The sequence below is a fragment of the Homo sapiens genome, chromosome 13, assembly GCF_000001405.40.
Source record: "Homo sapiens chromosome 13, GRCh38.p14 Primary Assembly".
Classification (NCBI taxonomy): Eukaryota; Metazoa; Chordata; class Mammalia; order Primates; family Hominidae; genus Homo; species Homo sapiens.
Window position 1 is genome coordinate 60196820 of NC_000013.11, and position 17201 is coordinate 60214020.

The following is a 17201-nucleotide window of genomic DNA, read 5'->3' on the forward strand; positions in this document are numbered from 1 at the left end:
AGCCCAGGTGGTTGAGGCTGCAGTGAGATATGATCATACCATTGCACTCCAGCCTGGGTGACAGAGTGAGACCCTGAATCTAAAAAGATATTCAAAAATTTAGAAAAGGGCAGTGAATAAGATTGAGGAATCTAGAGAAAAAATAAAAATTATCAATAAACATAGGAAAAGATGATTAATCTGACTAATAATTACAGATGTAAAAAGTAAAATATCACTTTGATATTATTTTGATTATTAAGACAATAAAAGAAAAAAGAATAACATCTATAATTGGCAGAGTATAGATAAACTAGGACTTTCACACTTTGGGGTACATATGAAAGCAAAAATTTGTACAAGCAATGGAATGATTCCTCTTTTACATCAACAATAAAATTAATTTGATATTTACCTCTAATATAAACTTCCCTCTTAGTACTGCTTTTATTGTATCCCATAGGTTTTAGTATGTTGTGCTTCTGTTTTCATTCATCTCAAGAAAACTTTTCATTTTCTTCTCAATTTCTTCAATCACCCATTGTTCATTCAAAACCATGCTATTTAATTTCCATGTACAGGCATATCTCAGAAAAGCATGGATTCAGTTCCTGACCAGTGTAGCAAATATCGCAATGCTAGAGACTAAGTTTTCTGAATTGTTATGGCTGTGTCCATTTCTTAAAATAAGACAATGAAGCTTGCTGAATCGATCGGCTCTTCCTTTCATGAAAGATTTCTCTGCAGCACGTGATGCTGTTTGATAGCATTTTACCCCAGTCAAACTTCTTTCAAAATTGGAGTCAATCCTCTCAAATCCTGCCACTTAATTATCAACTAAGCTTATATAATATTTAAAATTATTCGTTGTCATTTCAACAATGTTCATAGCATCTTGACCAGGAGTGGATTCCATCTCAAGAAACCACTTTCTTGGCTCATCCATAAGAAGCAACTCCTCATCTGTTAAAGTTTTATCATGAGATTGCAACAATTCAGGCATATCTTTAGGCTCCTATTCTAATTCTAGTTCTCTTGCTGTTTCTATCACATCTGTAGTTATCTCCTCCACTGAAGACTTGAACCCCTAAAAGTCATCCATGGAGGCTGAAATCAACTTCTTCCAAATGCATGTTAATGTTGGTTGATATTTTGACTTCCTCTCATGAATCACAAATGTTCTCAATGGAATCTAGAATGGTGAATCCTTTCCAGAAGGTTTTCAATGTGCATTGTCCAGATCCATCAGAAGAATCACTATTTATAGCCGCTATAGCTTTGTGAAATGTATTTCTTATATAAGACTTGAAAGTTAAAATGACTCCTTGATCCATAAGATGCAGAATGGATGTTGTGTTAGCATGCATAAAAACAACATTAGGCTGGGCGTGGTGGCTCACGCCTGTAATCCTAGCACTTTGGGAGGCCGAGGCGGGCAGATCATGAGGTCAGGAGATAGAGACCATGCTGGCCAACATGGCGAAAGCCCATCTCTACTAAAAATACAAAAAATTAGCTGGGTGTGGTGGCGCGTGCCTGTAATCCCAGCTACTTGGGAGGCTGAGGCACAAGAATCACTTGAACCCAGGAGGCGGAGGTTGCAGTGAGCTGAGATCACACCACTGCACTCCAGCCTGGTGACAGGGTGAGACTCCGTCTCAAAAACAAACAAACAACAACAAAAAACATTAATCTCTTCATGCATTTCTATCAGCACTCTTGGGTGATTAGGTGCATTGTCAACGTGCAGTCATATTTTGAAATGAACCATTTTTCTCTGAGCAGGTCTCAGCAGTGGGCTTAAAATATTCAGTAAAGCATTCTTAAACAGATGTGCTGCCATCCAGGATTTGTTTTTCCATTTCTGGAACACAGGTAGAGAGGATTTAGCATAATTCTTAAGGTCCCTAGGATTTTTAGAATGGTAAATGGGCATTGGCTTCAGCTTTAAGCAACCAGCTCCATTAGCCCCTAAAAAGGGAGTCAGTCTGTCCTTTGTAGTTTTGAAGCCAGGCATTGACTTCTCTCAAGCTGTGAAAGTCCTAGATGGCATCTTCTTCCAATGTAAGGCTGCTTTATCTACATTGAAAATCTGTTGTTTAGTGTAGCCACCCTCATCAGTGATCTTGGTTAGATCTTCTAGACAACTTGCTGCAGCTTCTACATCAGCATTTGCTGCTTGCTTCACCTTGCACTTTTATATTACGGAGATGGCTTCTTTCCTTAAATTTTATGAACGAACTTCTTCTAGGTTCCAACTTTTCTTCTGCAGCTTCCTCACCTCTCTCAGCCTTCATATAATTGAAGAGGGTTAGGGCCTTGCTCTGGATTAGGCTTTGGTTTAAGAGAGTGTTGTGGGAGGTTTGATCTTTTATCCAGACCACCCAGACTTTCTCCATATCAGCAATAAGGCTGTTTTGCTTCTTTATCATTTGTGTGTTTACTTGGAGTAGCACTTGTAGCACTTTTAACTTCCTTAAGAACTTTTCCTTTGCATTCATCACTTAGCTGATTGGCACAAGAGGCCTAGCTTTCAGCCTGTCTCAGTTTTGGATATGCCTTCCTCACTAAACTTAATCATTTCTGGATTTTGTTCCTTTTTTTTTTTTTTTTTTTTTTGAGACAGAGGGTCACTCTCTCACCAAGCTAGAACTCCTAGGCTCAAGCAATCCTTTCACCCCAGCCTCCTAAGTAGCCAGGACTACAGGTGTGCACCACCACACCCAGCTAACTTTTTCATTTTTTGTAGAGATAGCATCTCACTGTGTTGCTCAAGCTGGCCCATTTCTAGCTTTTGATTTAAAGTGTGAGACATGTGACTTTTCATTTCACTTGAAGACTTAGAGGCCATTGTGGGTTATTAATTGGCCTAACTTTAATACTGCTGTGTCTCAAGGATTAGGGAGGCCCAAGGAGAGAGGGAGATGGGAAATGGCCCCTAAATGGAGCAGTCAGAACGCATGCAACATTTACTGATAAAGGTCACTATCTTATATGGGTGTGTGTGGCTTGTGGTGCCCCAAAACAATGACAATAGTAACATCAAAGATCACTGACCACATATTACCATAATAGATAATGAAACAACATTAATAATAGAAAATGAAAAAGTCTGAAGTATCATGAGAATTCCCAAAATGTGACACAGAGACACAAAGTGAGCACCTGCTGTTGGAAAGATGGCGTCAATAGACTTGACACAGAGTTGCCACAAACCTTCAATTTGGGAAACATGCAGTACCTATGAAGTGCAATAAAGTGAAGCACAAAAAAAAGAGGTATGTCTGCATTTGTAGTTTCCAAGGTTCCTCTTGTATCGATTTCTAGTTTTATTTCATTGTGGTCAGAAAGATATTTATCCTCAGTTGATCAGTTTACATTGTATACATGCATTGAAATATATGTACCCCATAAATATGTACAATTATTATTTACCAATTAAAAAAAAGAAAAAAGAAAAGCAGTTTGGCTGTAAAATTACAAATAAAATATGTCTATACAGTCTATACACTTTAGCTTAAAAAATCTGTTCCTAGGGCTTTCCCCTTAAAAAAGTGATTATATACTTGACCAAAACGTATATACAGGAATATTCTGTTCTGCATTATCTATATTGGTAAAAGCTTGGCAATAATAGAAATGTTCATCAAAAAGGAATTAGGTAAATAGATAGTAGAGTAGTCATATAATAGAATATTCCACAGTTATTAAAAGTGTTGTTGGAGTTCCATATGAACAGAGTTAAACTGCAGTAATATTAACCCACATTATATCCCCACCTATTGTTAAATTAATGCATTCTTGACTCAAAAAGAGGACAAATATAACTGAGAAAATAGGTGCTTGGGAATAAAATTTTAAACTTAATAAGCTTTAGGTTTGTAAGAGCTGAACTTTTTTTTTTTTTTTTTTTTTGAGACAGAGTCTTGCTCTGTTGCCCAGGCTGGAGTACAATGGCCCGATCTCAGCTCACTGCAACCTCCGCCTCCTGGGTTCAAGCAATTCTCTGCCTCAGCCTCCCAAGTAGCTGAGATTACAGGCATGCACCATCATACCCAGCTAATTTTTGTATTTTTAGTAAGGACGGGGTTTCACCATGTTGGCCAGGCTGGTTTTGAACTCCCAACCCCAGGTGATCCGCCCACCTCAGGCTCCCAAAGTGCTGGGATTAAAGGCATGAGCCACCACGCCCAGCCGGAGCTGAACCTTTTAAGAGAAAGATGTTTAGTTTGAAAAGTTCGTCTTTGCATGTTAAAAGCCAAAGTCCTCAGATGTTAAAAATGAATGGTAGATTTGGAAGCATAATGTCTGACCAGTGTTTTCCCCTTACTGGACAGAGAAACAGGTTTATTTTTCACAGAGGTTAGAGTGATGGAGTTGGCTGTGGGTGGTGGTCTCTGGGAAGAAATACAGTTCTCTGCTGCCCTTTTGGCCAAGCTTTGAAGGTGGGATGAGTAGGAGCAATAGAAATCCAATGAGTTTGGGTGGGGAGCATTCATGGAGAAGGCATCTGTGTTTTACTTTTCTAGGTATAGCCCAGGAACACTGCAGGACTTTTAAAGAAACTTCCTGTTCAGTATGTATTAATATATTAGTTTCCTATGGCTGCTTTAACAAACTACCACACACTTGGTGATTTAAAACAACATACATTTGTTATCTTATCATTCTAGAGGTCAGAAGTCCAAAATCAGTCTCAGTGGGCTAAACATCAAGACAGGTGAGAGAGCTGCATTGCTTCTGAAGGCTTAAGGGGAGGATCTGTTCTTTGACTTTTCTGGCTTCTAGAGGCTGCCTCTATTCTTGGCTCCTTAGTCCTTCCTCCATCTCTAAAGCCAGCAGCATAGCACCTTTGAATCTTTCTATCTCTGCTTCCAACATCACACCTCCTTTTCTGCTTCTGACTCTCCTGCTTCTCTCTTATAAGGGTTCTTGTGATTACATTTGGCCCGCCAGGATAATCGGTATAATCTCTCCGTATCAAGATCTTTAATTTAATCACATCTGCAAAGTCTCTTTTATCATGTAAGATAGTACATTCACAGGTTCTGCGAATGAGATTTTGAACATCTTTGGGGGTCATTATTCTGCATACTACCACATGGTACCCCTAACAGTAGAATAGCAATGACTGTGTTAAATGTGTCAGCAGATGGTCCCAAGGGCAACTTCAGTTTAGTGTTGGATGAGAGGGCACAGACAGACTGGTTGGGCAGACTTGAAGAGGCCTTGTATTTGGAATAAGGAGGATGAAGAATGAAGAATCTGACAGGCAGATGTCAAGGAATGATTCCAGCCTCTTCGCAGATGTAGCAAGTGTAGAAGCCATTGTGCAAAGGACTTTAGCATCTTTGCTGTCCAGATGATTTTTAGCTCTTGTCTGATTACTGAAAAATCATCCTAGGTGAAGAGACGGAGAAGTGAGAGAGAAAAAAATCCTGAAGTGATGAGATTAGGTCAAACCAGAGTAACCAAGAAAACAAAGGAGTGACTGAGTTGACCATGAATTGGCCAGATTGACTTTTCTACTAGTCGTGGATCTTAAGAATAAATTAAATAGCATTTTAGAAAGGTACGTTTTTGTGCATCTTAGTAACTACTTTGAAATGCATAAACAAAATATATATGTATTGATAGGGAAAGGTGTCTACAATATATTATTATATGAAAGAACCACATTATAAAACATGTTATTATATTCAAATTGTTATATTGTATTTACATGTTTTTATGCATAGAAAAGTGCCTTATTTATTTATTTGTTTATAGGTAAGGTCTCACTATGTTGTTCAGACTGGCCTTGAATTCCTGAGCTCAAGTGATCCTCCTGCCTCAGTGTCCCAAGTAGCTGGAACTACAGGCGCAGGCCACCATGCCCAGCTAGAAAAATGTCTTAAAGTTTATATTCCTATTCAGACATGGCTCTCTCTGGGTGATTGAATAAGAGATTTCTCTGTGTACTTTTTTATATTGATTCAATTTTAGATCCGTGCTATTGTCCTTACACTAAGCATGTACTATTTGAATAATCAGTAAAAACAGCAGAGTCATTTCCATCTTACAAAAAGCTATGGTAAAAGATACCATCATTTATTTTAGATAGTGAAATAGTATGTAAATAACACTGAACAACAACTGTTGACAGCAAAATGAGATCAAGTGTCAGTTTTCCAACTTACTAGTCATGTAACCTTGGGCAAGCTACCTACAATTTCTGGGCCCCATCTGAAAACTGGGGATAATAATGCACAGTGATACCAAATGGAATGCAGTGGGCTTGACATTTACTGCGTTAGTTAATTCTCAAAACAACTCTCGATGTGATATTATCATCCCGTTATGTAAAATCAAATATAGAAACTATATACTGCAGCTCTTTGAAAAACCATAATAGAAACCTAAGATACTCCTGCAACACAGTCAAGAAATGCTTACAGTGCTCCGCATAGATATAGATGCCACATATAAGCTCTTTAAACAATATTTTGATAACTTAATTTTCAGTATGAATATTAGGCTCCTCTAAAACTTTCAGCAATTGGAAGAATGATCCGTGAGTTCTCTGCCTAGAGATAGCCTCTTTAAAACCAAACGATATTTCAGTGGTTCACTTTCCTACCTGCTGGCAGCCTGGGCTCTTGATGAAAGCTTTGTTGTTGAGAAAGTGTTGTTGTTGAGAGTTGAGTGAAAGTATCCATTATCAATTGTGTTTACTAAATTCAAGGTATTTGCTGTAGCAGCTATGTGTGTGTTTGTATACACATGAATATACATATATGATAATATACATATTATCATTTTAAATGGTTAGCTATTATTAATTACCTAGTACTCTGATTAAGATGAGATACATTAAGGATACAAATTAAGAAACTGGGATTGGCCAGGCGCGGTGGCTCATGCCTGTAATCCCAGCAGTTTGGGAGGCCGAGGTGGGCAGATCACCAAGGTAGGGAGTTCAAGACCAGCTTTACCAACACGGAGAAACCCTGTCTCTACGAAAAATACAAAAAAAATTAGCTGGGTGTGGTGGTGCATGCCTGTAATCCCAGCTACTCAGGAGGGTGAGGCAGGAGAATTGCCTGAACCCAGGAGGCAGAGGTTATGGTGAGCCGGGATCACGCCATTGCATTCCAGCCTAGGCAAAAAGAGCGAAACTCCACCTCAAAAAAAAAAAAAAAGAAAGAAAGAAAGAAAGAAAGAAGCTAGGATCAGGAATATGGGCCAAGTATAAGGCTATATAAAGTAAAAGTGTCTAGAAATATTCCATATAACCTGAATAGGAAAAACTAGTATAAATTCATCCTTTCTTCCTAAAAACCTTTAAGGCTAGAAATATTTTAGAATTCAGAATTCTTGGCTTTCAGAAAGGTACTTGAATGCACATGCCTTCTGTAATGTACTGATATATATTATATAACATCACCAACAGGTCTGTGCCCTGTAATCACCACATTGTCACTTCTGCAGAGAAAGGAATGAATATTCATACTAAGTCGGATAAATAAAGTCTTTAAACAGCCTTATATCAGCTCAGGTTTTGCTGCCAAATGAGTATGTACCAAACTCAGGGAAAACTTTTCAGTTGATTAAACTCCATAATGAGAAATGAGGTGCTTCCGTTTTCTTCAAGTTGTTTTCAGGTTTTCATTTTCCTGCTCTTGATGATATGCTGAGAAGGGCTTAAGGTTGTAGAAAGAGATAATGTGAACACACAGCATTGACTTTTATCAACAGCTTTATCGCTTAGTGGTGATGAGAAAGTTGTCTATACAGAGGGAATTTCTTCCTTCACAGCTTCAGTGTTCACTTCCTAGATGAATAAAACTTACCTATGTCACTGGATGCAAAGAGTTGATCAACACTTTCCTGTGTTAAGCTTTTAGAAGCCTTTAGTTTGTATGAAAACCTAACTCTTGGCCTCCGCTCTCTGGGCTTCTGCTAATAGTAATGCTTATCTATTTCAAGTTCCAATGACCTAGTTGCAATTATTTCTAGTGTTGATACACTTAGGACTGTAGATATTTTCATAATTTGAGTTATTATGTGAGTAAGGTGAGTAAAGTGTACATTTTTCCTGGACATTGGGTGAAATATTTCCATTAGCAATAGGTCAAACATAAATAGTGATAAGGTTGGAGAAAAGTTTTCAAGGGGTAGCTTAAAAACCTTGCTTCAAAAGGAAGCAGAAGGCTGGACATGGTGGCTCACACTTGTAATCTCAGCACTTTGGAAGGCCAAGGCGGGTGACTCTCTTGAGCCCAGAAGTTCGAGACCAGCCTGGGCAACATGGCAAAATCCTGTCTCTATAAAATATACAAAAATTAGCTGGGTATGGTGGCATCCATCTGTAGTCCCAGCTACTTGGGAGGCTAAGGTGGGAGAACACTTGAGATCAGGAGGTTGAGGCTCAGTGAGATTGCACCACTGCACTTCACCCTGGGCAAAAGAGTGAGACCCCATCTCAAACAACCACAACAACAACAACAAAAAGGAAGCAGATATCTAAGTATTTATGTCAAGACTTAGGATATAATAAGGGATGGAATATCCATGGAAGATATAACAATGAGAAAGGATACAGAAACAGTTTTAAACTTCTTCGCACTCCTCAATCTTCCAGCGATTCTGTCAACATGGATCCAGCTGTGCTGGAAGAGAATAGGCATGTTATATTCATCTAAGTAGCCTTACAACTGGAGCTTCATGAGAGCAAAAGTTTGGCAGACCCCTGACTGCAAAGTGAGGAGCACCTCTGCCCAGCTGCCCACTGTCTGGTAAGTGAGGAGCGCCTCTGCCCAGCTGCCCACTGTCTGGTAAGTGAGGAGCGCCTCTGCCTGGCTGCTGCCCTGTCTGGGATGTGAGGAGTGCCTCTGCCTGGCCGCAGCCCTGTCTGGCAAGTGAGGAGCGCCTCTGCCCGGCCCCTGCATCGTCTGGGATGTGAGGAGCGCCTCTGCCCGGCCGCTGTGCAACCTTCCAAGTGTGAAGTGACAGCCTTGTGTGTGATCTTTCTGCCTTCCCCAATTTGCATTTTCGACATTAAAGTTTACTTAAAAAAAAAAAAAAGTTTGACAGACCCTCTCAACAACCTCAAAAGGGAAGAATTATCCTACTAAGAATGGGAAAACTGAGACCCAGAGAGGTTAGGTGACTTGTACTACGATTATGTAGATATAAATGATAGCGCCTGCAGGCCTGTCTAGCTCAAACAGCGAAATGAAAATGATAACTTGGGGGGAAAGAGAATTGTATTCAATATACTGTCTAGCAAGCTTCTGGTGATATTTATACTTTGTTAAGTTATACATATGGCAACATATTTTGTGGGGACGATTTTTAAAGTGTAGGATCGGTGTCAATTTATGATCAGGAGAAGTGGACTAAAATAGAAGAAGGGAAAACCTAAGAATGACGAAAACAAAGTAAACTTTTCTCTCTGCTCTCCAGATAGTCTGCATGGACATTATCTCTATAGTTTCTGGAATGGGAAGAAGTTGTACAACTGTGTGCAGTACCCATCCAATGTGACAACATAGTAGGAGATAAAAATCTCCTAACCCAAATGGCAGTTTTTGTTTCTGGTGACAGTGCAAAGAGCCAACAAAACTCTAGTTTACCAGCCAGTTTAAATTACTTTCTTGAGACAGACTTTAAGAGTAATTTGATTCCTAATCTGTGCTAGCAAAAATACACCATTGTGCATCTGTGTGTTTTATTTACTTTTCTTGCATTTCAAATCACATACCCACATTCACCCTCACACACACGATAACCCACACAAAATATATTTGGAATAGGACTTTTCCAGATCTAATCACAAACGATACATTTTTAATGGGGGAGGTACAGGCACTGTGATAGGCCTGTGGGGTATAATAGCTTATACCAACTGGTCTTCTTAAACAGATGCTCGACTCTAGAGTGGGGTCATCAAGCGTTTTTTATACAATTGGCTCTTTATTAGCATAGTGGACAAAATTAATTTTTGAATATACATCTTTGTTAAATTTTTTATTCCTGTTGTGTTATATTCCTGAAATGAAAAAGGGGAAGTTGAACTAGATGTTGAACTAAGTGTTCAGGCATGATACACAGTAAGTCAAACTCACTGGCTGGAACCCACAGCAAGAAGTCACAGGAAGAATAAAACGTGATGGATTTGAGTATGCCTGACACATATACCTAGTTTGATGTAGTAACAATGATAAAATAGTCAATAAAATAAATTTTAAAAATTGGTCTGGGCATCAAGAGACATAAATATATTTTAATTAGATTTGTGATCTCCTGTTTTTCCCTCTCCAAATATGGAATAATTTTGTATGCCAACAGGATAAAAGTTGTGAGAAAAACAATTTTTTTTTTTTTGAGACAGTGTCTCGCTTTGTTGCCCAGGCTGGAGTTCAGTGGCATGATCTTAGCTCACTGCAACCTCCACCCACTCTTCCGCACCAGGTTCAAACAATTCTCCCATCTCAGCCTCCCAGGTAGCTGGGATTACAGGTGTGTACCACAATACCCTGCTAATTATTTTGTATTTTTAGTAGAGACGAGGTTTCACCATGTTGACCAGTCTGGTCTTGAACGCCTGACGTCAAGTGATCCACCCGCCTCAGCCTCCCAAAGTGCTGGGATTACAGGTGTGAGCCACCGTGACTGGCCAAGAAAATTATGAACAGAAGGGTCTTTAAAACATGACTTGTCCTCTGTATGCCTATAGTACATTAATACTTCTGGACAGTAAAAAATTACCAGATTAGAACACAATGGTCTGAGGGTTACTATTCTAAAGAGCTCATTAAAATTGATAAGAAAAACACTGAGACCCCAATATGAAAATGAGCAAAGGACATGAATAAACAATACATGCCAGTGAAGATAATTAGCAAGCAAACATATGGGAAAATGTTTAACCTTGCTAGTTATCAAAGAAAAACAAGCTAAAATAATTGTGTTAATATCCTACACCACTTTAATGTGTAAGAGAAATGATATTCTGGTGAATTCCACCAAATGTTTAAGAATAATTAACATTAATCCTTCACAAACTCCTCCAAAAAAAAAAAAAGAAGAGGGGGAAATACTTCCCAACTCATTTTATGAGGCCAGTATTATCCTAATACCAAAATCAGACAAAAACATCATAAGAAAAGAAAACTACAGATCAATGTCTCTTCTGAATACAGATGCAAAAATCCTCAGCAAAATACTAGCAAACCAAATCTAGTAACATATAAAAAAGATTACAGGCTGGGTGTGGTGGCTCATGTCTGTAATCTTAGCACTTTGGGAGGCTAAGGCAGGAGGATTGCTTAAGCCTAGGAGTTGGAGACCAGCCTGAGCAGCACAGCAAGACCTTGTCTCTACTAAAAATAAAAAAATTAGCCAGATGCAGTGGCATGTGCCTATAGTCCTAGCTACTTGGGAGGCTGAAACAGGAGGATCACTTGAGCCCAGGAGTAGAGGCTGTAGTGAGCTATGATTGTGTCACAACACTCTAGCCTGGGTGACAGAAAGAGACTTTGTCTCTAAAAACAACAACAACCAAAACAAAACAAAACAAAAAACAACAACAGGTTATACATCATGACCAAACAGGCTTTAGCCCAGGTAACCAATGTAATAGACCACATTAACAGAATGAAGGGGGTCGGGCGTGGTAGCTCATGCCTGTAGCTCATGTTGGGCGTGGTAGCTCATCCCAGCACTTTGGGAGGCTGAGGCAGGTGGATCACTTGGGGTTAGGAGTTTGAGACCAGCCTGGCTGACATGGTGAAACCCCGTCTCCACTAAAAATATAAAACAATTTGCTGGGCATGGTGGTGCGTACCTGTAGTCCCAGCTACTTGGGAGGCCGAGGCAGAAGAACTGCTTGAACCCAGGAGATGGAGATTGCAGTGAGCTGAGATCACGCCACTGCACTTCAGCCTAGGCAACAGAGCCATATTTCATCTTGAAAAAAAAAAAGAAACACACCCACACACACCCACACACACATACACAAACAGAACGAAGGGGAAAAAACCCCACACAATTTCTCAATAATAAAGAAAAGCATTAAGAAAATACAACATCCTTTCATGAAAAAAAAAAACAAAAAAGTAAAAGGGAATTATGTCAACCTAATAAAGGCCATCTACAAAAACCCATAGCTAACATCAAAACTAATGGTGAAAGACAGAATGACTTCTTCCTAACATCAAGAATAAGAATATCTGCTCTCATCAGCTCTATTTGATATTGTACTAGTGGTACTAGTTAGAGCCAGTAGGCAAGAAAATGAAATAAAAGACATTCAGATTGGAAATAAAAAAGAAACTCTCTCTACTGCAGATGACATAAATCTAAAGAAAGACACAAAAAACTATGATAACTAATAAATGAGTTTAGCAAGGTTGCTGGCTATAAGAGCAACATACAAACATCAATTGTATTTATATAGACTATAAGTGAGAAATTTATAAACGAAATTAAAGCAATTACATTTATGAAAGCATCAAAAAAATAAAAAGCATAGGAATAAATTTAATAAAATATGTGCAAGACTTGTACACTGAAAACCAGAAAACGTCATTGAAAAAAATTAAAGAAGACCTTAATAAATGAAAAGACAACCCATGGCTTCTGGATCGGAATACTCAGTATTATTAAGATGACAATACACTTCGCATTAATCTGCAGATGCAACACAATGCCTATAAAAACATCAAGCTGCCTTTTTAGGGGCAAAAACTGACAAGTTGATTGTAAAATTCCTATGGAAATTCAAAGAACCCAGAAAAGCCAAAACATTCTTGAAAAAGAACCAATTTGGAGGACACACACCTTTTGATTTCAAGGTTTACTACAAAGATACAGTAATAAAGACAATGTGATAGATTGCATAAGGATAGAAATATAGATCAAAGGAATTAAACTGAGAATCCAGAAATAAATCCTATACTTTACAGCAATTGATTTTTGACAAGAATCCCAAAGCAGTTCAATGAAGAACAGTCTTTTCAACAAATGGTGCTGGATAGCTACATGAAAAAAAATAAAGCTGGACTCTACCTCACACAAAAATTAACTCAAAATGGTTCATAGATCTAAGTGTAACAGTTAAAATTATAAGAATATTAGAAGAAAACATAGGCATAAATCTTTGTGACCTAGGAGTAGAAAATGGTTTCTTAGATATGACATCAAAAGTAAAAATGACAAAAAGAAAAAAATAAATAAATTGAACTCCATCAAGATTTAAAACTTTTGTGCTTCAAAAGATATCATTAAATAAGTGAGAAGACAATGCCAGAAACGGGAGAAAATACTTGCAAATCATACATCAAGTTCCTGACAAAGGACTTGTATATAGAATATGTAAAGAACTCCTACAACTTAGCAATAAAAATACAAATAACTCGGTTTAACATGGACAAGAATTTGGATCGACATTTTGCCAAGAAAGATATATAAATGGCCAATAAACACATAGAAAAACGCTCAACATCATGAATCATTAGGGAAATGTAAATTAAACCATAATTAACTCAAATACTACCTCACATGTATGAGGATGGTTATAACCAAAAAGGACAGACAAATATCGACAAGGATATGGAGAAATTGGAGCTGTCATACATTGCTGGTAGTAATGTAAAAAATGAAACTGTTTTGGAAAACAGTTTAGCAATTTCTCATGAAGTTAACCCAGAAAGAGTTATAGTTACTGAGTTATAGCTAAGCCAGAAATAGTTATAGTCACCTGAGTTACTATAACCCAGAAATTCCACTCCTGGTTATATATCCAAAATAATTTGAGACATGTCCATACAAAAACTGTACACAAATGTTCACAGCAGATAATAGCCAAAAGTGGAAGCATCTCAAATGTCCATCAACTGATGAATCAATGAACCAAATGTATCTCCATACAATGCAGTATTATTTGGCCATGGAAATTAATGAAGTATTAACTCATGCTACAACACGGATGAACTTAAAATATATTAGACCCAGTGAAAGAAGGCAGTCATAAAAGGTCACATATTACATGATTTCATTTCTGTGAATAGGCAGACCCATGGAAACGGAAAGTAAACAGAGGTTGCCAAGATCTAGGAGGAAAGGAAAATGGGGAGTGGCTCCTAATGGATATGGGTGATACGTGAACAATATATCAATAAATCTGTTCTTTAAATAAATTGTATCATTCAATGTTGTCAAGACTGATGAAACTGGTACAATTACATATTATTAGCAGCTTAGAAATCAGTACAATTCTTTTCTAAAGCTTAGAAATCAGTACAATTCTTTTCTGAAGCAAATTTGACTATACTTTCCGTGAGCTGTACAAGTCTTTCCATCCAGTAATCCTGCCCCTGGGAATTTAAACCATGCTCAGTGCTGAAACTATGAAGAAAGTTATATGACTGAAGATTTATTCTTTACAATACTAAAAAACTGAAAACCTCAAGTATTGTACAAAATGAGGATACTTAACACTTTATCAATTCAACTAATTTTTCAAAAAATATTTGATCAATTAAGTAAAAATGTTTTATATTATATATTTTAAATTATTTATACCTATAGACAAGGACTGATAAAGAACATGAACCCAGGAAAATAAATGGCCTGTTAGCTTGCTATAATTGTTGAGATCCCTCTCCTGTATTTTTAATATTATTTTTGTGATGATTGTGAATGTACCACAGTATTCTTTGCCATTATGATGCTGTTATATTTAAAATGTTTTAAAATATTTTAAAGATGATTTCGGAGTGCTTTCAGAAATTATGCTTGTGGGTGAAAGATATGTGGGTACCCTGGATATCTGGACTATGATTCCAACCAGGAGAAAACACCAAGAGATCACAGCCACATTGGAAGATCTAGCTGACTCCAGTGAAGAAGTGTGAGGAGTCTACCTTCCCTGAAGAGCAGCTTGGCAGGATTATCCCCCTGGTGGAGCAACCAGGCTGGCGGAGAGAGGTGAGCCCCTCCATCAACAAACAGTAGGACTATAGACTTGTGAACTCTTAGAAGGAAATTTGTGATGATAGGGGTGGTAACCCCAAGGAATGCTTCTTATGTGAATCAATGACTGGAGCACAACACTGGATCTTAAAAGGAAAAAAAAAAAGATTATACTTTCAAGTAGTGATATAACATGTTTTTAAAACTTTTAAAATTAATGCATGACTATTGGCCAGGCACGGTTGCTCACACCTGTAATCCTAGCATTTTGGGAAGCCGAGGTGGGCAGATCACCTGAGGTCAGGAGTTCAAGACCAGGCTGGCCAACACGGCGAAACGCCGTCTCTACTAAAAAACACAAAAATTACCTGGATGTAGTGGTGGACGCTTGTAGTCCAGCTACTCGGGAGGCTGAGGCAAGAGAATTGCTTGAACCTGGGAGGCGGAGGTTGCAGTGAGCCGAGATCGTGCCACTGCACTCCAGCCTGGGCGACAGAGCAAGACTCCGTCCCAAAAAATTAAATTAAATTAAATTAAATTAAATTAAATTAAAGCATGACTATATATACATTTATATATGGTAAAGTACAAAAATCTAAAATCTACAACTAGGTGAATATTTATATAACTATAAATTCATTTTGCCACTATTCAGGTCAAGAGAGATCTTTTGGTGTCACCAGTAGCCTGCTCATGCCCACATGCAGTTGATACCACTGCTGAAGGCAACCGGTATCTGACCTATATCTCCACAGATTAGGTTTGCTGCTTTTGAGTTTCACAAATATGGAATTACTCAATACGTACTCTTTTGCATCTCCTTCTTCTTGCTCAGCATTATGTCTGGGGAATTCATCCATGATGTGCATGAGACTGGAATTGATTGTTTTTCATTGTCACTGGACTTAATGATTTCTGTAATCTGCCTCCTGCAGAATATAGAATAGTGCATTTCCTTCTGTTTAAATTTCACTGTGATGTAAAATAAATGCATGGTTAAATAAACTGGTTTAAGGGGAGAAAGTTTAAAAAAAAAAAAAGTCATTTAAGAGCATTTGACTACAACCGAAGTGCAGATGTAGTCAGCTAGAGAGCTGTCACTTCCGAGTAAATGAAATGGGCAGATGTTTGGGAAAATCAGTAAGATTGTGTGGTAATCCTGTGGAGAGTGTTGGCAGAACTAGAAAACAGAGAGATAACGAGCTGGCTAAAATGGTAAACAAAGGAAGCTTGCACTCCTGGGAGGGTTTGCAGGAAGCACACAGCAATCCCAAAACCCTCTGGACTCCTGGGTTTGAGGCAGATGCAGTGCAATTCCAGTGGTCTCTTCTGTTCTACTGTAAGCCCATCTCACCTGTTTCAGATCAGTTTAGGTTCCAGTGGGAATGAAGAAGAAAAACTTTTTTACAGTTTCAGCTGTCAGAAAGCTGCTGTTTGCAAATTCCAGGCTTCCAGACAACAGCAGAAAGGGTTTGCTCAGGAAAAAAAAATAAAAGTTTCCTAAGTGCTGTAAATCATGTTTTAGAGCTTGCTCTGGGAGGACATCAGAGGTTAGATTAAATGGAATAAAACTAGTAATAGTAATAATAATATTAATAGTGTAAGTCTGTTCTTATCTAATGGGGGAGATTGGGGCAGGTGTTTTCTGCATCCACAGCTGGTGACCTTCTCAAGTGGTTTCTCTCCCTCTCTGCATTGACTTTTCCCTCTGAGTTTTCTATATCGAATCTTTATTTCCTAGAAAGGTAAGGTAATTACTAACTTTTAAATCTATAAAAGCTGGTAGATAAGCTTGCTGGCTACTTGCCAAGACAGCTTTCATTGACATAAAAAAATTCTTTGTTTGTCATAACTAAATATATTAAGATATATAGAACATATTTTGAAGTTAAATAGTTTCAATTTCTTCATAATTAAAGTAAAACAAAGTTATCTTCTAGTGTAAGTTAGCACTCTGTCACTAAGATCTGTGTGACCTTGGGGAAGGGCTTTCTTGTGTCTGAGTTTCGTCAACTGTAAAACTATAAGCCTAAATTAAGAAATCTTTAAAGCGCATTTTAAAATATTAATATAATTTCTAAATATTTTAAAATATTAATATAATTTCTAAATCAAGTCTTGTAGAGAACCTAAAAAAATAAATTCTCCCTTGATATTGGACTTAGACTTACATTAACAGTAATTCCAAGAAGCAAACATTCAATTTGACTGGGAATTATATTCTGTTCGAGTTTGGGTGCTACGTTTGGAGATCATGATGTACC